Source organism: Homo sapiens, chromosome 4, assembly GCF_000001405.40.
Source record: "Homo sapiens chromosome 4, GRCh38.p14 Primary Assembly".
Lineage (NCBI taxonomy): Eukaryota > Metazoa > Chordata > Mammalia > Primates > Hominidae > Homo > Homo sapiens.
In genome coordinates, this window is record NC_000004.12 from 150,085,557 (window position 1) to 150,106,444 (window position 20,888).

At 37.5% G+C, this 20,888-nt stretch overlaps 1 protein-coding gene across 13 annotated transcripts in view; it reads left to right on the forward strand.

Annotated features, from left to right (window-relative positions):
- Window positions 1-20,888, forward strand: part of DCLK2 (doublecortin like kinase 2) — a 178,994-nt gene that overhangs the window by 7,112 nt on the left and 150,994 nt on the right. For all 13 annotated transcript variants that reach the window (XR_007096380.1, NR_036614.2, XM_017007832.3 and 10 more), the window contains exon 2: window positions 16,922-17,256. Coding sequence is in view for 11 of the 13 variants with exons in the window: in XM_017007832.3 (XP_016863321.1) it covers window positions 16,922-17,256 (335 nt within the window). In the remaining 2 variants the exon portion in view is untranslated. The remainder of the gene's footprint in view (window positions 1-16,921; window positions 17,257-20,888) is intronic.

A 20,888-nucleotide genomic window follows, 5' to 3' on the forward strand; every position in this document is an offset into this window, starting at 1 on the left:
TATTGTTACAATGGCAATTAAATTTCCAACACCTGAAGCTTGGGAGATGTGTTCAACCCACAGCAGGAGGTGAATAAATCATAAAGGCAGAGACTTCATAGGCTGGATTAGTGCCCAAAGAGGCCCCAGAGAGCTTGTTTTGCCCCTTCTAGCATGTGAGGATGCAGTGAGAAGTCACCATGAGTGAACCAAGAGCCCTCACTACACACCATATCTGTTAGCACCTTGATCTTTGATGTCCTCACCTCCAGAACTGTGAGAAATTGATTTCTGTTTATAAGTCACTCTGTTTTTTGTATTTTGTTATAGCGACTTGAACGGACTAATACAGTCTTCTTTCGCCTCTAAAGTTCAGTGATCTTGGGAAATGCTTCTAGGGGTGGGAAAGAGAAATGATTTTGGCTCTATCTGGCTCCATGTCTTTCTTTGAAAGTTGGCTGGGTACTTGATCAGATGTAGTTACCCAGATTTAGATGGAGTTCTTAAAACACCTCAGTAACATACAGGAGGATCTTTTCCATAGACCATCCTCGTGAAAGGGAAAATTACAAACCCAACAGGGGGTGGGACCACAATTGTCTTGTTTATCCTTTTATCCCATGAAACAAATGCTTCTGGCACGTGGTGTTTTTTTAATTAATTTTACTTTTGTGCCCTATTTAAGATGTTTTAATAGTTGGGTATAGGTGGATGTAGATGCTTTAAAAAACCTTTATTTATTAAGATAGCCAGTTGGACAGTTAGCCAGATTTACAGAGGTAACATAAGTTCATGTTAAAGGCAAATATTCCTTGCCCCTTTGTGTTTCAATTTTTTAATATATTTTTCTTCAAGAAAAATGATGCAGTATATTTATGTCCCAAGAAGTTATCAATTTCACTAGTATCTGAGATTGAGATGTCTGACTTGAGTTTTCTCTTTGGACAGCTATCACAACCAGATTCTTTTTATTTTTTTTTTTTTTTTTTGAGACTGAGTCTCACTCTGTCTGCCAGGCTGGAGTGCAGTGGCGCAATCTCGGCTGACTGCAAGCTCCGCCTCCCGGGTTCACGCCATTCTCCTGCCTCAGCCTACCGAGTAGCTGGGACTACAGGCGCCCACCACCACGCCCTGCTAATTTTTTGTATTTTTAGTAGAGATGGGTTTTCACCGTGTTAGCCAGGATGGTCTCGATCTCCTGACCTCGTGATCTGCCTGCTTCAGCCTCCCAAAGTGCTGGGATTACAGGCGTGAACCACCGTGCCCGGCCCACAACCAGATTCTTTCATATTTATTTCTCGTTATGTGTTTAAATCCCAGGATTATTCTAAGCCCGCTAATATTTTCAGTGTCTACAGGAGTTCTCTGCCATAGCTAAGGCTTAGTTGTGTTCATCTTTAGCATTCTCATTTTAAGCAATTGTTTTTGCTAATTTTTTCATGCTTAATTTTAACACAATCTTAATTTTTTAATTTTGTGAGTCAGAAATAAAATCAAGAGCTTAAATGAATATTCTTTTATTCCTTAAAACATGTTATAATTCAATCCTAATCCCCGGGATATTTTGTCCTATTTGCCGTGTTTTCAACAGCCTAAAGGAGAAGTCATTATATTGTAATTTGTCAGAAGCTTTTCCTTATAGACTAAAGGAATGGTAAAATACCGGTTTGGTGAGGTCGCCCTAAGTACTTTTCATTACACTATAACATTTACTGACATTTCAAACTAAGTGACTAAAATAATCTGCAATTTTGACCTACTCTGTTACCTTTTGTTTATTTGTTATAGTTACTTGCAACCAAAATGCAAAATGTTCACAATAGATGTTTTAAAATATTTTCATTGATCTCTTCCTTCACTATATGTTTTTAAAACTTCAGATTACTTTGTTAACTTTTGAAATAGCAATGTGAGGAGGCCAAGGAGGTTTGCTGAAAATCACTGAGATGAGACAGATTAATAGAAGAAAAGGCACGCAAATTTATTTAACATGCATACACAGGAGCCATCCGAATTAAGACCCAAAGATACAGGGGAAGTTGTCCATTTTTATGCCTAAATTCAACAAAGTATGGACAGCCCTGTAGAAATATGATTGGACAAAAGGGCATGATTTAATGTTAATAGACTGAGTTTGGACACCCAGCAAGGCCTGTCTGTCTAGATTCTTCTTGGCCTCTGTGAGCAACATTCCTTTCTTCTGGGTGTGGGGCAGGACCCTCTCTGGAATGGGGGTCTTGTGACCTACAGTCAAACCAGGTAGGTCAAATCATTTCTTTATAGCCAGTTTTTACATACAAAGTGAAGGGGAAATTAGAGTAATATTTTTAGATTTTATGGCTGGCTTTGGGGGAAAAGAGTTTGGGTTTCTATGACCTTCCTTGGAGAAGAGGGATTCTAGTTTTTATGGCTAGCTTTGGAGGTGAATGGGACTAGCAGCCAGGAGGGCGGCAGAAGATCAGAGAAAAACGTTTGCCTCTGAGGATGCTACTGGGCCTTCATTTTGGGGTATTGTTTTCTGAGCCCCAACAGATGCAGTTATTTCTCAAAGGCAGTCATTGAGAGTCTCTCCCCTGATGTCCTTGCTCATCATCTTGGTCTCTTTACTTAATAGTATTTTGCCTTATCTGCTGAAGAATCAAGAAAAAAGGCGTTCTAGAAACTTATTACTGGTTATATTGTTGTTCATTAAGCCTGTGTGGGAGAACTTGAGAAATAGTACAGTGTAAACTTGTCTCTTATTAGTTTAGTGATCAAAGCCAGTTTCTGGAAGTTTCTACCTAAATTTTACAATGTATTTAAACATTTAGCAGAGTCCTAGCATGCAGTGGCTGCTTGATAAATGGTGGTGGTCCTCAGCTTTTTTTTTTTCGTATATATATCTTTTTTTTTCTGCTTATATATGACAGCCTTCAGATTTTTTTCTTTTTTCTTTTTAAATTCTTTTTACATTTTATAACTAGAGACAGAGTCTTTGTTGCCCAGGCTGGCCTCCTGGCCTCTAGCAGTCCTCTCGCCTCAGTCTCCGGTTAGCTGGGATTACAGGTGAAAGCCATTACACCCTTCAGATGTTTTGAGATGATGGTCATGCTTTCCTCTACTACTGATTGAGTGTCCCTCATCTGAAAATCCAAAATGCTTGAAAATCTGAAACTTTTTGAGTACTAATGTGATACCACAAATGGAAAATTCCATACTTAACCTCATGTGACAGGTTGCAGTCAAAATGCAGGTGCACAACCTGTAGTTTATTCAGCCTCCCCAAGGGGAAAAAAAGATCATTCCAGCCCCTTTCAGCTCTGATAAATATTTTCTGTGCATGCCCAGTTCCCCCACGAAAGCACACTCACAAGGAGTAATAAAATGGCACATGCGTAGGCCGGCTGCACCAATGGCAGGTTCTCCACAATGCTCTACGTGGGGTTAAGACCTATGTACATTACTCACTGTTTTGCTTTGTTGCTTATTCTCCGTTCTGTGGTGTAAAGATACTGTTGAAAACATCAATAATACTTGCATGATACTCATAGGGTAATGCAGATATTCCAAAATCTGAAATCTGAAACCTTTCTGGTCCAAGCATTTTGGATAAGGAATACCCAACCTGTATTTCCCCTTCTCTCTCTTCCTCTAAACATCATCACCTCTTTTTTGGATAAACATCTGGTTTCTGAATTCTTTATCACTTGCACTGAAACTTTTGAGTTACCATCATTATCAATCACTTGCTTAAAACTGAGGGCTAAGCTTTCCTCTTACTCACAGCAAGATTAACATAAAGGCACAGTGGAGAAAGGAATGAGAGATTAAGGAGGAGAGTGTTCAGCAAAGATCTTCAGAAGCTGAGGAAACTTTTGAGGAAAGTTTTGCCTCTATTTAAATGCACCAGTTGAAGGACTGACCCTATATGTACTATGCCCTGTTTATTTACAAATATTAGGTGGCCACGTTTCAATGTGAAGGTTTCTCTGTCTCAGTATCCTTAAGGTTGCATTGTTTCTCAAACTTTAACAATGGTAGCCATTTAAGATTAAAAACAATATAAAAATCCAGCATCCAAATTGCAGAAGCCAAGTATTGCCTTAATTACTTCAATTACATTAGTTACATTGTCACTTAAATGTTTGTAAATATAAAATTAGGTATGCTTATGTATATAGGTTTTACATAGTGATACAACCCAAACACACTGACAGTGTAAATACCAACAAAAGTGCATTACCAGTAAAAATGCAAAATAGCAATATAAAGCTAGAGATACTCTGCTCAAACTAAATTGGTGTTCCCAGTGTGACCGTGGCACTGAGTGCTGAGTTAGGTATGCTGTATGTCAGAATGCCGTGTAATGAGTCAGTTTTGCACAGCTAATGAGTATTCCTGTAGAGCAAAATTTTGTCCTCTCGCCTTAACTTGCTGTGAACATGTCTTTTATACGTATGAAGTCCACTTCCCTTTTTCCTTGTTGATTCCTGGCATAGTTAGAGTAGTTGAAGCCAAAAGACTGTTAACTTAGAAGTAGTTGTTCAGATGTTCCAGAATAGGATTACATAAACATTTAAAGTTTTATCATCAAAATAAACGCCCTATGGGCTGGGCACGGTGGCTCATGCCTGTAATCCCAGCACTTTGGGAGGCCGAGGCAGGCGGATCACCTGAGGTTGGGAGTTTGAGACCAGCCTGACCAACATGGAGAAACCCCGTCTCTACTAAAAATACAAAAATTAGCTGAGCGTGGTGGCGCACGACTGTAATCCCAGCTACTCGGGAGGCTGAGGCAGGAGAATCTCTTGAACCTGGGAGGCAGAGGTTGTGGTGATCCAAGATCGCGCCATTACACTCCACTCCAGCCTGGGCAACAAGATCAAAACTCCATCTCAAAATAATGATAAAAACAAAACAAAACAAAACAAAAAAACGCACAATGAAAATTCCCATAGTGAGCTCCTGTAGATTTTGGGATATTCTTGGCCCCATGTATGAGGAGCAAAAAAACCAGATCACAGATCTGATCTGCTGGTTCCATCCTACCCAGGAGATTAGATACGATTTCTTCCTCAGTGGGTAAGCTACAAAGCTTTTTGGTTACTGGGTGGGTTTTCGTTTTTACATTTAGCTAATTTATTTGGCCTTAAGTTAAACTCCTCCCAGATTTCAATGCTAAAACATGGATTTGTGGACATACCTATTTCTTCATAGATATTCGTAGGGTCAAAGCAGATTTTGTACCCCCTTCTCGGTAGAAGGTATCACAGACCATACAACTGGATGTGACTTTAGGAGATGATTTGGTTCAGTCACTTGCCTGCAGGTGTATTGAAAAAGTAATGGTCTTTGAGGTGATCTTATTTTGTGTCCCCAGCCCCGCTCTGCAGAAATAGGTGTTGTATTCATTGAGCAAATATGTAAGTAATGGTTCAGAGACAAGGCAAATGAGTATGGAGTGGGAACAGCATCTGGGCCAGAGCAGTGCACTTTGTGTTAGTCTGCCAATTCCTTTAAGTTTACATTCTGTGCGGTTTGGCCAGGAAACTCAATTAAGTTGTTTGCCATGACGGAATAATAAATCAGTCTTACTTTTTCTTACTCTGTATTTTTTCTTAGCTAGCTGGATGTGGGAACTCATCTGTGATGTATTTAAAATGGACCTTAAAATTATAATCCACCCGGTCTCACACAAACGCTGCGCTTGATGAAGGGTATCGAATCATCTTGTAGAGGCAAATATGCTCGAATATCTTTTCCTTGGTTACATTCTTTTGGAAGCAATGTTTTTCTTAATTTCCGAAGTTAGGAAAAATTCTAGGTTCCTAAGATTTTACTGATGTTAGACCTGAAGTGTCTTTCCTTTTCTTTCCTTTTTGTCTTCCTTTTTCTGTGTTACCATATTTAAGTATGTGTGTGTGTATCCTTTTCTCTAAGTTTGAAGAGTCCTTGCACTTTAGATTTGTAAATAAGTTTTCCTTTTTATCATTAAGTTCAGTGCTTGCTTCTACTCCTAGAGTTAGGCGTAGTCTCAGTGTCCAAATTTTATACAACTCAATATCTGCCACAAATGTCAAGACAGTTTGTAATTACAAACTAGTTAGTTGTGTTAGGCAGTTACTGGACATACTATAACAGAGGTGTATGAGAGACTTTATAGTAACTGATAGAAAAGTAGCCTAAAACTGCTATTGTTAAAATTTCCACCTACATAAGATTCCATGTAGTTCTTTGTCCTAAAAGGAACATTTATGTGTGTGTGTGTGTGTGTGTGTGTGTGTGTGTGTGTGTATTTGTGTTAGGAACACTTAACATGAGATCTGCCCTTTCAAATTTAAGTGCAACGTATGGTAGTATTAACTAATAGGCACAGTGTTGTACAGCCGATCTCCAGAACTTTCTCATCTTCATAACTGGAACTTCGTACTCATTGAGCAGCAGCCTCCCATTTTCTCTTCCCCTCACCCCCTGGCAAACACTATTCTAGTCTCTGTTTTTATGAATTTGACTTTTTACATAACCTATGTAAGTGAAGCCATGCTACATTTGTTCTTCTGTGGCTTATTTCATTTAACATAATGTCCCCCAGGTTTGTCCATGTTGTTGCATATGGCAGAATTTGCTTCATTTTTAAAGACTGAATAATATCTCATTGTATGTATATACCACATTTTCCTTATCAGTTCATCCATCACTGGGCATTCAGGTTGTTTTCATATCTTAGCTATTGTGAATTATGGTGTAATGAGCATCAGAGTGCCAGTATCTTTTTGGGATGCTTATATCAATTCTTCTGGATATATACCCCAAAGTACAATTGCTAGATCATATGAAAGTTTTATTTTTAATTTTTTGAGGAACTTTCACACTGTTTCCATAGCAGCCATAACCTTTTACATTCCCACCAACAGTGTACTAGAGTTCCAGTATCTCTACATCTTCTCTAATACCTTTTTTAAAAAAACCCATTCATCCTAACAGGAGTGAGGTGACATCTATTGTGGTTTTGATGTGCATTTCCATGATAATTATTGATGTTGAGCATCTTTTCATATACTTGGCCATTTGTATGTCTTTTTTGAAATGTCTATTCAGATCCTTTCTCTTTTTAAAAATCTCTGTTTTGGGGTTTTTGTCCTATTTCTTATACTTTTTGAATATTAAAGGATAAAGATCACACAATCTTAATAGATGCAGAATGCAGAAAAAGCGTTTGATAAAATTCAACATGTTTTCATGATGAAAACACTCAATAAACTAAGTATAGAAGGAATTTACCTCAAAATAATAAAGACCATATATGAAAAGCCCACAGCCAATCTCATAGTTAACAGTAGAAAAGCTTTTCTCTAAGATCAAGAACAAGGCAAGGATGCCCACTCTTGCCACTTCATTCAACCTAGTACTGGAAGTCTTAGCAAGAACAACTTGGCAAGAAAAAGAAATAAAAGGTACCTAAATCAGAAAGGAAGAAGCACAATTATCTGTTTGCAGAAGACATGATCTTATATGTAGAAAACCCTGAGGACCACACAAAAATTGTTAAACTAATACATTCAGTAAACCTTTAGGATACAAAATCATCATACACAAATCAGTTGTGTTTGTATACACTAATAACAAACTAATAAGGAAATTAAGAAAATTTCATGTATGATAGCATTACAAAATTAAATACTCAGGAAAATTAAGGAGGTGAAAGCTCTTACACTGGAAACTATAAAACATTGAAGGAAGTTAAAGAATACACAAATACATGGATAGACATCCTGTGTTCATGAATTGGAAGATTTAATATTGTTAAAATTCCCACATTTCCCAAAGTGATTTACAGATTCAATGCAATTATGAAAATCCCAATGACATATTTATTTATTTATTGAGACGGAGTCTTGCCCTGTTGCCCCAGGTTGGAGTGCAGTGGTGCCATCTTGGCTTACTGCAACCTCCACCTCCTGTGTTTAAGCTATTCTCGTGCCTCAGTCTCACGAGTAGCTGGAATTACAGGCTTGTGCCACCATACCTGGCTAATTTTTGTATTTTTAGTAGAGACAGAGTTTTGCCATGTTGGCCAGGCTAGTCTCGAAATCTTGGCCACAAGCAATCCACCCACCTTGGGCTCCCAAAGTGCTGGGATTACAGGCATAAACCACGCCCAGCCTCAATGGCATTTTTTACAGAAATAGAAAAACAACCTAAGATTCATGCAGAACCACAAAATATCCAAATAGCCAAATCAATCTTGAGAAAAAAGAACAAAACTAAAGGCATTACATTTCCTGATTCCAAAATATATTACAAAGACACAGTAATTAAAACATTATGATACTATCATAAAAACAGACACATGGAACAATGTAACAGAACCAAGAGCTTAGAAATAAACTCAAATATGTATGGTCAGCTGTATCTTCAACAGGGTTGCCAAGAATACACAATGGGGAAAGGACAGATTCTTCAACAAATGGTGTTGGGAAAACTGGATATCCACATGCATAAGAATGAAACTGAAACCTGGAACCTTATACATAAAAACCAACTCAAAATAATTTAAAAATTTAAATATAAGATCTGAAACTCCTAGAAGGAAAACATAAGGGAAAAGTTTCATGACATTAGTCTTGGCAATGATTTCTCAAGTATCACACCAAAAGTACCAGCAACAAATGTAAAAATAGACAAGTGGGACTACATCAAACTAAAAAGCTTCTACACAGCAAAAGAAACAAATCAACAGAGTGAAAAGGCAACCTACAGAATGAGAGAAAATGTTTGCAGATAACATGTCTGACAAGGGGTTAATATCTAACAGTGGAGATTTTAAATGTAGAGAGATTACTGTGCTTCAACTGTTTAAAAAAGAGTATGTAAATACATATTCCATTGATTAAAAGGCATATCACATTCATTAGACTACAAAGTGCGCTTGGACTCTTGGTGTTTTAATGGTCTGAAATGGAAAAGATACTGGTAGGTACTTGGTGTCTTCATCTCCTGCTAGTGCCCGTAGATGCCTTCAGTTGACTTTTGATGGACTGACATGACCTACGAGTGTCTCAGACCATGCATGAGGCCCTTCAGGAGCCTGACCCTGAGCCTCCCAAAGTCATTCTAAGTAAACTGTAACACTATGTGCTTATTTTGCCTGGATGCAATGCAAATGCAAACCATGAAATGTGTAAGTCTGTTTTGGAAATACGCATTTTCTTCATTACTTTGACAAACATGTTTTAAGTGCCTGTTGTATTCCAGGTCCTGTACTAGGTGTTGGTAATATGAAGAAGGTACAGTCAGTTTTTTGAGGGAGCTTCTAGTCTAGACAGTGGCTTGTAACCAGGGACTGTTTTCAGAGTCATTTGTGAAATCAAAACACCTTACCCACATGTTCAGTTCACTCTCACTTTCCAGTGATTGGCTTAGTTGAACTGGGGTGAGGCTTGGGTGTCTGTACTTATGCAACAAAATCACCTGATTTTTAAAGAAATTCTCCACTAAGAACCACTAGCAGAAACAAATAAATTGTAATTATGAGAAATTAATATATTGTAAGCTCAGTACAAAAAGAGTGAGGAGTGACATAATTTTTATTTTTCAACTATAATATACCTATAGAAAGTTCATAAAACACACGCAGCCAGAATTATGAAGTGAACCTCTTTGTGACTACTAGTCATGTCAAGAAATAGAATATTGCCAGCATCTGAGAAGCTCTCCCTGTGTCCCTTCCCATTTACAAGTCTTCTCTCTCCCATGGCAACAACAGCCTGGCTCTTGCTTTTCTTCATGATTTTACCGCCTATGAAGGCATCCCTAATCGATATAGTTTACTTTTTCCATTTCAAACTCTGTATGAATTAAATCATAGCACACATATTCTTTTGTCATCTTTTGCTCACCATTGTTTATAAAACTCATCCAAGTTGTTGCATATAGCTCTCATTTGTTCATTTTCATTAGTATGTAGTAGTTCATTAGTGACCTCACCACAATCTGTGTACCCTTTCTCTTGTTGGACATGTGGGCCGACTCTGATCTTTGGCTGTTGAGCAATGCTCCTATGAACATGTGTGTGTATATAGAGTGTCTATGTGAATGAGTTTCTCCAGGCTGTTTTCCTAGAGTGTATTTCTGGGTCATTGGATGTGTGTTGTTAACTTAGCACTAGATAATGCCAACCTAAGTGATTGAACCAATCAGTTTTTCCTAAGTGATTTAACCAATTTAAAAGCTTTTCAGTGTATGAAGGTTCCTATTGCTTTACTAAACTCTTTGCCAGAGGTGCTTAATCTTGAAGGGTCAGTGGAAGAGAGACAAGGAGAGAGGAGGAAGGTTATTTCCGGCGTATAAGAAGGAATGAGAATAAAGAGGGTATGAGAAGTTTGAAAGGAAATTGCAAGCATGCTGATATGACACTAATGTAGGAACCTGCAGGGAAGTGGTGGGAAATGAGGCTGGAAGTGTGTGATGTGCTGAAGAGTTTGGCCTTTGTTCTAAGGGCAGTAGAGAGACAAGAAAATCAAATATACATTTTTTAAAAACTTGTGACAGCTGTGTGGAGGGTGAGGCCCAGACATGGGGCTCTTTACTACTCTAATCCGGGAAGAAACGAGAGAAGGCAGGGTAGAAGGAGTTGGTTTCCAGAGGGGTTTAGACCAAAGTCAACCGTTCTGCCAATTTTGTTGAATGTGGGGGAAGGGCAGTGAAGAAGGAAGCTTGGTTTTTGCTTAGATGACTGAACAGTGGTTATTCCGTTCAATACTTTGGGGACTTTAGGAAGAGGAGAGTGTGAGATCAGGGTGGCAGTAATGGAGAGTGAAATTCGTTTTAGATATGTAGCATGTGAGATATTCATAGATATCTAGAGAGGGATATTCTGTTAGTGGGTTGAACTCGAGAAAGATCTAGGCCAGAAATGTCATCGATGTTTGATTCCTCAGAGTGTAGATGGTGGTTGAAGCCATGGATAAAGATGCAGCTGCCCAGAGAAAGTCTAAGGAGGATGAGGGATGCCTGGGTGGGTGTGGAAAGAGGATCCTGAAAAGCAGACTGAGAAGGAGCAACCTAAGAAATGTGAGGTAAAGGTAAGGGAGATCATAGATGCTAGGGAAAAAAGGATTTGCATGAAGAGGATTAGGACTGGTGTCCAGTGCCCTCAGAAGACACTGAAGACACTGAGTGAAATTAGACAGAAAATGTGCTTTGCATTTGGCAGTTAGGTAAGAAGTACTTGGGAACTGGGGCGAGCCACATTTCAGCTAGCAGAGCCCAGGGAGCACAAGTGATGCTCCAGTGGCTTAAAAGCAAAGAGTGGGCGATGAAGTGGAAAAACAGATGAGGACTGGCAGTGAATGGAAGCCAAAAGCACATTAGGTAGAGTAGAGTGAATGGGGTGGGGCTGGGCGGTTCATGTGTTTAAGGTGGGACACACTTGTGTATAATCCTATAAAGAGGGCTGGAGAGGAGAGAAAGAATGGCTCTGAAACCTCAGCATGGGAGGAGAGAAGGACCCACGTCCTGTTAGAGGGATTTAACTTTGAATAGGAGGAGAGCACTCTGTCACTGAAAGGAAAAGGACGTGCGAAAAATGGGCACAGATGGAAATAAATGTGTAAGAATGAAGGTTTGCAGAGAGTGAGAAATTGGAAATTTCTAGCCTTTTTTTTTTTTTTTTTGAGACAGAGTCCCGCCCACTCTGTCACCCAGGCTGGAGTGCTGTGGTACTGCAACCTCCGCCTTCTGGGTTCAAGCGATTCTAGTGTTTCAGCCTCCGGGTAGCTGGGATTACAGGCATGCACCACCACTTGTGGCTAATTTTTGTATTTTTTAGTAGAGACAGGGTTTTACCATGTTGGTGAGGCTGGCCTGGAACTCCTGGCCTGAAATGATCTGCCCACCTTGGCCTCCCAAAATGCTGGGATTACAGGCATGAGCTACCGTGCCTGGCTGGAATTACCTAGCTTTTAATGACCTCTTTCTTCTTGAATAAGAGGCAGTTCATTTGGTTGAGTAAGGATGAAAGTTAACGGCCTTCTAAACATATACCCAACCAAGTTGTATTACATAATTGTAAACACTGAGTCAACCTGCTATATATGCAGTAATGCAAAGTGTCTTTGAATGGACATCAAAGGTAAAAAGCCATAGCTGTGCCTCTGGAAAGAGTCTTATAGGATATTGAAGGAATGCTTTCTGTTCCATTACCATGCCTGAAAACAGTTAAGTTTTATAACCACCTTATGCTTCTGTTTTTCCTCTTTCTATACAGAAACCAAAACCCTCTTTGTATATAGTACTCATATGATCGGGATTTGCAAAATGATTTCCCCTAAATTTTTTACAGTTTTATGGCCAAAGAACTTGAAAGAGAGAGAAGGCAGGGAAAGGAGAATGAATATGGATATATGTATCTAAATTCCCTTTAGCCAAAGACCACTGGGCACACACATGTAGTTGAACAAGTTGGGTTTATTACTTGTTCCAATGAAGAAGAACACACCTTATAAGATACCATGTGGTGTCTTAGTAAGAGGGTGTTAGAACCTATCATAGCATTTGGGCTCTGGCTGATTAATATTAGGAAGGATCTAAGGAAACGGGGGCTCACTCTGTCTTGGGTGCTGTCAGAAGGCAGGACAATCCTATGATTGGATACCTCTATAAATCTTAGTTATAGGGAGGGCAGACTAGATTGAGGAAAAAACTACGGTGGTAAAGAAATGGCAGTCACTCACTTAGTGCAAGAGGGGGATGTTTGGTATTGTGGATTGCACAGTGACCTTGTTTTTGTGTCACTTTATCATAAAGTCTTAGAGTGACTTCGTATGATATAGTCTGTGAGATTATGTCTAACAGAAGAACAAAATGGCTTGACTCTGAGTGACAGACCAGCTTGTAATAACATTGAAGTCTAGCTATGAGTCAGCCCAGTTCTGGGACTGCTTTATCTACTTATGAAAAAAATACATATGCGTGGTCCTAGTTGAACTCTAATTTTTATTTTGTTAATTTTTTATTTCAATAGCTTTTGGGGTACGAGTGGTTTATGGTTACATGGGTGAATTGTCTAGTGGTGAAGTCTGAGATTTTAGTGCACCTGTCACTTTGTTTTGGTGAGGGCAGTTTTAACATACGTTGGCAAGAGTTTAACAAAGTCTCTCATACTGTGGGGTTTTTTCTTTTTCTTTTTTTTTTTTTTTTGGCAGAGTCTCATTCTTGTCACCCAGGCTGGAGTGCAGTGGCACGGTCTTGGCTAACTGCAATCTCTGCCTCCTGGGTTCAGGTGATTTTCCTGCCTCAGCCTACTGAGTAGCTGGGATTACAGGCGCCCGCCACCACACCCGGCTAATTTTTATATTTTTAGCAGAGACGGAGTTTCACCGTGTTGGCCAGGCTGTCTCAAACTCCTGACCTCAGGTGAGCCACCTCCCTCGGCTCCCCAAAGTGCTGGGATTACAGGCATGAGCCACCGTGCCTGGCCTCTCACACTGTTATTTTTATATTGGTACATTAAGATTTAATACTGTAGGATGCAGGATGTACTTTTTCAGCTATGTCCTTGTGAGAATGGAAGAAATGGGAGACCTACAAGTTGGCAAGGGAGTCACGAATCTTAAACAAGAATCCCTACAGTACCAAGAATCTGTGTAGGGGGAGGCTAATCGCTTCTAATCAATCTTGCAGGTGCATAGTATCTAACCAAGAATGATTATTGATTTCTTTTTAGTAGAGACATGGTCTCCCTGTGTTGCCCAGGCTGAGCTTGAACTCCTGGGCACAAGGGATCCTCCCTCTTCGGCCTCCCAAAGGGCTGGGATTACAGGCATGGGCCGTTGCACTCAACCTGATGGATTAACATCGAGAGTTGTAACTAACTGCCCAGGGAACCAACATCTTAAGTTCTTTTGTCAGCATATTCTCTCCTTGTAGGCAAATCTATATAAGAGACAAAATTACAATCTGCAGATTGTTTGATTTGGATGGGGACATTATAAGACAAGCTAGCTTGGGTACCTTGATGGCTGTTGTCGTCAAGGTATATGACATCTATACTTTAGGGGTTTGTGTGGCCAGTACACAGAAACACTAAAACCATGTGCTGAACCTATGTGCTGTAATGTTGAATGCCAAGATTACTAAAGTGGGTTTCATACCGTGTCAGCACCTAACATGAGAGCTTGTGCATAGTAGGCACTCAGTGTACATTGTAATGAGTTGTCTAGGCTTAAAGAAAACAGGGCCATGGGTGCAGAGAAGAGGGTGAGGCTATTGAACTGTTATTTGTGTCTGCCATGGATGTAGAGAGCCCTATCTTGTAGGCATTTGTTAACCTTGTAGGCATTTGCCAGCCTGCCTCAAAACTTTAATACAAGTTTATGATGGAACTAGTCTACAAGTTTGGTTTGTTTGCTTTATGGGGACAGGATCTTGCTCTGTTGCCCAGACTGAAGTGCAGTGGTGAGATTATATCTCTCTGTAGCCTTGAACTCCTGAGCTCAAGTGATCCTCCTGTCTCAGCCTCCTGAGAAGCTGGGACTACAGATGTGTGCCACCATGTCCTGCTAATTTTTGTATTTTTAGTAGAGACAGGATCTTGCTATGTTGCCCAGACCTGTCTTGAACTCCTGGCCTCAAGCATTCCTCTTGCCTTGGCCTTCCAAAGTGCTGAGATTACAGGCATGAGGCACCATGCCCAGCCTACAAATTTTTAATGGAAACATTATGAAAGGAAGAAGGGAGAATGGGAAGGAATTAAAATTTATCTGTAATTGCACAAAAGCAAATTAAGGAGCTTCCTTTACCTACTTCATTCTAACATTCTGAACTTGTGTAAGGAAACAAAATGCAGAGAAATTTAGGAAGCATCTCTCCTTGTGGATATGTCAACTGTGTAGAAACAGGTTGACCAAGGAAATCTGATATATGAAATCTGCTCTTGTTTTGTTTCTTTTTTCATTGTTACTCTTTATGTTGGGACAGGCTTTCCCCCAGCTGACTTACTACTTATCCCTGCCCTTTTTAAAAAAAATTACCTTCTTTTGCTAAGATTCTTTTTTCTCTTCCATCTTATATTTTGAATCGAAAATAGAATTAAAGTTTTATGATAGATAAAAATAGTAAGAGCTTTTTGATGTGAGAGTTACTTTCTCTATAAAGTTAAAGCAAAATTCTGTTTTGCCCATTAATGCATATGTGTGGTTATAGTTATATTTTATTAAATTGATAACTGTTTTTGAAATTATATGACATTTTCCCAGATGATCATACTGTGAAAAATGATTTAGATAAGCCTACAGAGATGAAAAATCTCTAAACGGTGGTGGTTGGGCTAGATTTCACTTTACTGGTGTAGAAATGGTGTTAAAGCCTGTGATTGGTTCCCCAGTTATCTTGGGCAGTGCCCTAATTATACCCTTAAATAGAAGACATTGCTTCTCTTTTTAAGCCATTCTTGGGGCCAGGCATGGTGGCTCATGCCTTATAATCCCAGCACTTTGGGAGGTCAAGGTGGGTGACTCGCTTGAACACAGGAGTTCAAGACCAGCCTGGGCAACATAATAAAAACGCTGTCTCTACTAAAAACACAAAAATTTAGCCAGGCATAGTGGCATGTGCTTGTAATCCCAGCTACTTGGAAGGCTGAGGTGGGAGAATCACTTGAGTCCAGGAGGTTGAGGCTGCAGTGAGCCATGATTGCGCCACTGCAGTTCAGCCTGGGCAACAGAGACCCTGTCTCAAAATAAATAAATTAATTAAATAAAAATAAAATCTTCTTGTATGCCTTATCTGTCACTGAATTATTCATGTGCCTTCGGAGACTGTACAATTCTCCATTAATCAGGATTTCAAGAACATTATGATAATAGTTAAATATAATATGGATATTAATAGGTTTTTCTCGGGAATTCTCTTTCACTATTTGGGTTACTTCTGTTTTAAGTATTTATAATATTTAAGGTTCATGTTAATATTGTTAACGATGAGTGTTATACTGAATATGTGAAAAAATAATGGATTCTTTTTAGAAAAACCTTAGTATAACCCTCTTATCTTGTATGTCAAAAAGTCAAGAGTATAAAAACCTTGGGTGATTCTGACTTTCCTAAAAGAAAAATTGTGGTATCTCAACATATAATTTTTGGAAATTTTGGAACTTAAAATATCAGTAAACATTGAATTAATAAGCCACTTGGCAAATAATATAGCTCTTATGTTGTACTTAATAAAAATTAAGCAGAAGGTTTCATGAGTAATGAACACATCATTTTAACTACTTCAGGTCCTCTCCTATTTAAGTAGATACAGAAAAGCGTATATTTAAACAATAGTTATTTTAAATTTACATTCTGTAAGAAGAAAAGTAGCTGAGGTATATTTCTTTTAGCTGCCAGAACTCTTCCATAATGTTTGTGGTGCTTCATTAATTTAATAAGTGACCTTGTACCTGAGTATAATTGAGTCAGCTATGTGAAGATGTTGTGATTATTCTTTGATTAGGGCTGAAATCTATAATTGGAAGAAATATATTTGTATTTCTTTATAGCAATATGTTGTGATATAATTATTTCTACCAGAATGAGATTTCTAAAACTAATTAGTAAATAGGAGGTTTGGGGAATCAGGAAGTACTTTAGAATTCAACTGGTTCATCCACTTCAGTTTATTGCTAATGATACTGAGGACCAAAATGTGGAGAAATGAATTATCCAAGGTGGCACATTTGGTCAACATATTTGGTCCAGTGCTTCTCACCCTGTAATCCTTGTTATTCTCTCAAAACCAATCTAGACTATTTAAAAGAAAGGAAGGTGGGAGAATGCCAAAGGAAAAGGGTGAACATCCCCTTTTAGTGAACCCACTAAGGTTAAGGGTTCACTTAATGGGTTTCCAGCATCTGTTCTTTAGACCAAATGCTTCTATGATAGAGATAATCATGCTAATAAAATCAAATTTTGCTTTTTAGGTGAGAGTTACGTGTGTGCATCCAATGAACCATTTCGTAAAGTCGATTACACCAAAAATATTAATCCAAACTGGTCTGTGAACATCAAGGGTGGGACATCCCGAGCGCTGGCTGCTGCCTCCTCTGTGAAAAGTGAAGTAAAAGAAAGTAAAGATTTCATCAAACCCAAGTTAGTGACTGTGATTCGAAGTGGAGTGAAGCCTAGAAAAGCCGTGCGGATCCTTCTGAATAAAAAGACTGCTCATTCCTTTGAACAAGTCTTAACAGATATCACCGAAGCCATTAAACTAGACTCAGGAGTCGTCAAGAGGCTCTGCACCCTGGATGGAAAGCAGGTAAGATGCTTCTAGCTCCCAGCTCTCCATCTGACTTTTAAACTCCCTGTGCCATGGTGGCTACATAGTCAACAATAGAAATTTAGTAGTGTGCTAGAAATCCTTCTGGGAGTCATACTTGAGATTGTGTGTGTGTGTGTATGTGTGTGTGTGTGTATGTATGTAAAATTAACCATTTTTGTGAAAAATGTAAGCGACTTAAGTACCTCAAAAGTGATTATAGAGAAGTCTATCATATACTTCTTTTGGTTATTGGAAGGAAAATGTAAATTTCTGAGGGAAAAGTATAAGTTGAGGAGACATCCTACGTTAAATGGCATGTCATCTATTTATGAATAACTGTTGATTTGTAAAGTCATTATGGACTTGGGTATCACAGGAGTCAAAATTAAAAGTATTTAACATTCTTAGAAAAACCTTTTCTTCCCCACTTACATATAATAGGGAAAATGTATTTCAAAAGAAAGTACTTTTATAGGAATGTCTGTAAAAGTTTCATAGGGAGCAATGGAGGTAATTAGTGAGCATTTTTGAAAAATGAAAAATTGCACAGGAAAAAGCAATTAAAATTATGGCAACAATGTATCAGGGAACCTAAGGGACAAAAAAAGTTGGCATATTGCAAAAACACATGAATAGCCGTTAGGTAAGTGTTGAATTTTGCTACAATCAGATTATCATTGCTAAAAAGAAGCTTGGCTTCTGAAGTGTATTTTCCCCCAAATTCCATAAAGTTAAATTGTTTATATTTACATTGTATTAAAATTATAGTTTCCAAAATTAAATTTGTTTCTTTGTTCCATTTTGCCTCTTCCCTGTAACATACTTAATTTATTTTGAAGTGTTCTGCTCTTGAAGTGCTGAGAATGAATAATATAAAACATTGAGCAGTGTCTTTGGGAAAAACACAATCAAATTAGTCTCCAATTTTCTAAGACCAGATCTAGTTAGTACAGTGCTTGCTGAAACATTAGCAATTTTTTAAAAATACGTTCTAAAGATTCCAGTAGATTATGGTAAAATTAGAATAACATTTCTAATTAATTAATAAGGTATATAGTACCTCATAGCCGCCTGCCCCCAAATATGTGTGAATGATGATAGACACTTCATATAATTTAGTTAATAGCACAGTACAACACAAAACACCTTAAGATTTACTCTGCAAGTAAGGAAAAATAAATTAGGCTACAGGAAAAAGGTATTTGACAAATCAAATAGTTGATTCTTGATGGGCACAGGGAAGACACATATAGAGACAAAAATTTAAGATACCTAACCAAAGAAAAAAATCTAAACTCACCAATTTAGGGGAAAAAGGCATATAAACAGTAAATACAGATGTGATTTGAAAAATTAGAGCTCAAGTTTGGAAATCCCCAAATGAATGACATTCAGGGAAAATATAGGTGAAATAAAAGAAGTTGTGGTCAGGTGTGGTGGTGCACTCCTATAGTTCCAGCTACTTGGGAGGCTGAAGTGGGAGGATCCTTTGAACCCAGGAGTTTCGGGCTGCAGTGAGCTATGATTGTGCCACTGCACTCCAACCTGGGTGCTGGTGACAAAAAAGACCACATCTCCTAAAAAAAAAAAAAAAAAAAAAAAAAAAAATCGAGCATCTAATTCAAATATCTAATTGAAATAGTAACCATTGAAATTTAAATAGTTATCAAAAAAATTATCCTTAAAAAGGTTCCAGACTATAGATGTAAAAATGTTAACTAAAGCACATGCAACTAAAAATCAACATTTCAAAACAATACAGTGTGATGAATAGGACTTATGCTGGTATTTAAAGGATGGCTTACTATTGAGAAACTTCTTTATTCATGAGATCTATAGGATAAAGCACAATAGCACATATTCATAATCCCAAACAGATGTTGCAAAGGCCTTTGATAAAATACTCTATATTCAGTTAAATATTTAGTAATAAAAATGGGTGATTTTTTAAAATTACACTAAAAAAAAAATTTCTATCTGAAACAACAAGCCAATGTATTACAAAGTAAATAAACACTGGAAGTATTTCTATGACAGGTCCAAGATAAGGATGCCTGATGATGGCGCCAGTATTCAACATTCTTCTATACATTCTTTCTGATTTTTATTTATATTTTACTAGAATTTCAGTAAGAATCTAAATGAGACTTTTTAGGAGGGGTAGATGGGGAACCTAACAAAATGATTTTTGAATTTAATCTGGAAAAATAGGAAAATTTTGGAAATAATAATTAATGGGCTTTCATGCTACCAGATACTAAATCATCATTCTCATACCACACCAAAAATAAATTCCAGGTGTGTTAGAAATATAGATGTCAAAATGAAACAAAAGGACTAAAAGTATGTCAATAGTTATGTTGAAATGGGAACAGATTTTCTAAGCATAACGTAATGGGAAAATCACAAAGTGTAAGGTTGAATGGACAACATAAAAATGAAAGATTTCTGGATGCCAAGCAAGGGTTTATATGCTTTAATATTGAGTTTAGTAATTTAATATGAAAAAGACAAATGCTACAATGAAAAAGATGAATAAAAGTCTAAACAATTTGAAAAGACAGAATTAGTGAACATTAAAAAATGTTGTTTCACAAAAAGGTGAATTAAACAAGTGAGATGTTTTAATATTTAAAACTGACAAGCTCTTAAAGAAAATGTTCAGTGTTTTTGAATATGCAGTGAATTGGTATTCTCAAATGGTGATGGAAGTGTAAAATTCATAAGCTTTATGAAAAGCATTTTGTTAATATGTATAACTATACAGATGTTCTTACTATTTGAACTAGTATATTAACTTTTGCAATTTATCCTAAATGACCTGACATGCAAACATAATTACACATAAAAATTTCATCCCAGCATAAAAGCAAAAAATTGAAAGTAGAAAATAGTTGTTATATTACCATGGAATTCATATGTACTGGCCATTGAAAATTATGTTTGGAGTAATATTTAAAGACATGAGAAAATGTTAAATGGAAAAAGCAAGAAACAAATTCCATGTAATATGTTTTCAATTCTTTGTACAGTTAAAGAAAAGTAGCAGCAGAAGTATTTTTTTAAAGCTAATTCAGAAGGAAACAAGATTATACTTGCCATCAGAAATTGAATATTTGCTGTTCTGATATCCACTACTACTTCCTCATATCTGCTCAAAAACAAAAACTCAAGCACTGAAAAAGAAAAGACTGATCTCAGATTTTAGAAATTCATACACATTATGAGTTAATTATTTTTTCATGTGCCAAAAAAAGATCTTTTAAGACTTTCAAGTAAAATATTTCTTTGGAAAAATTAGATTTAATTTTTGATAAACACAACATTGGATATTGCATTTTCAGCGAACCGGGTATTCTTAAAAGCTATAGTTTTCTTAGTGCTGAGTCCATGTTGTACTATATAGGTGAACTCGCTAATCTTCAAAACTTCAAGTCTGTTTTTGGTTGATATAAGTATAAAGATACTATGACATCTGCAAACCTTTAAATGAGCAGTGCTCATTTTGATCTTTTTTTAATAAAAAAATTTCTATGGGTATGCATGCTTGATCTTGGCCAAAAGGCCAAGAAGCAATTCTACATGTATGTAAAACTATCAGCATTCTGAGAATTCTCAAGGAAAGGACA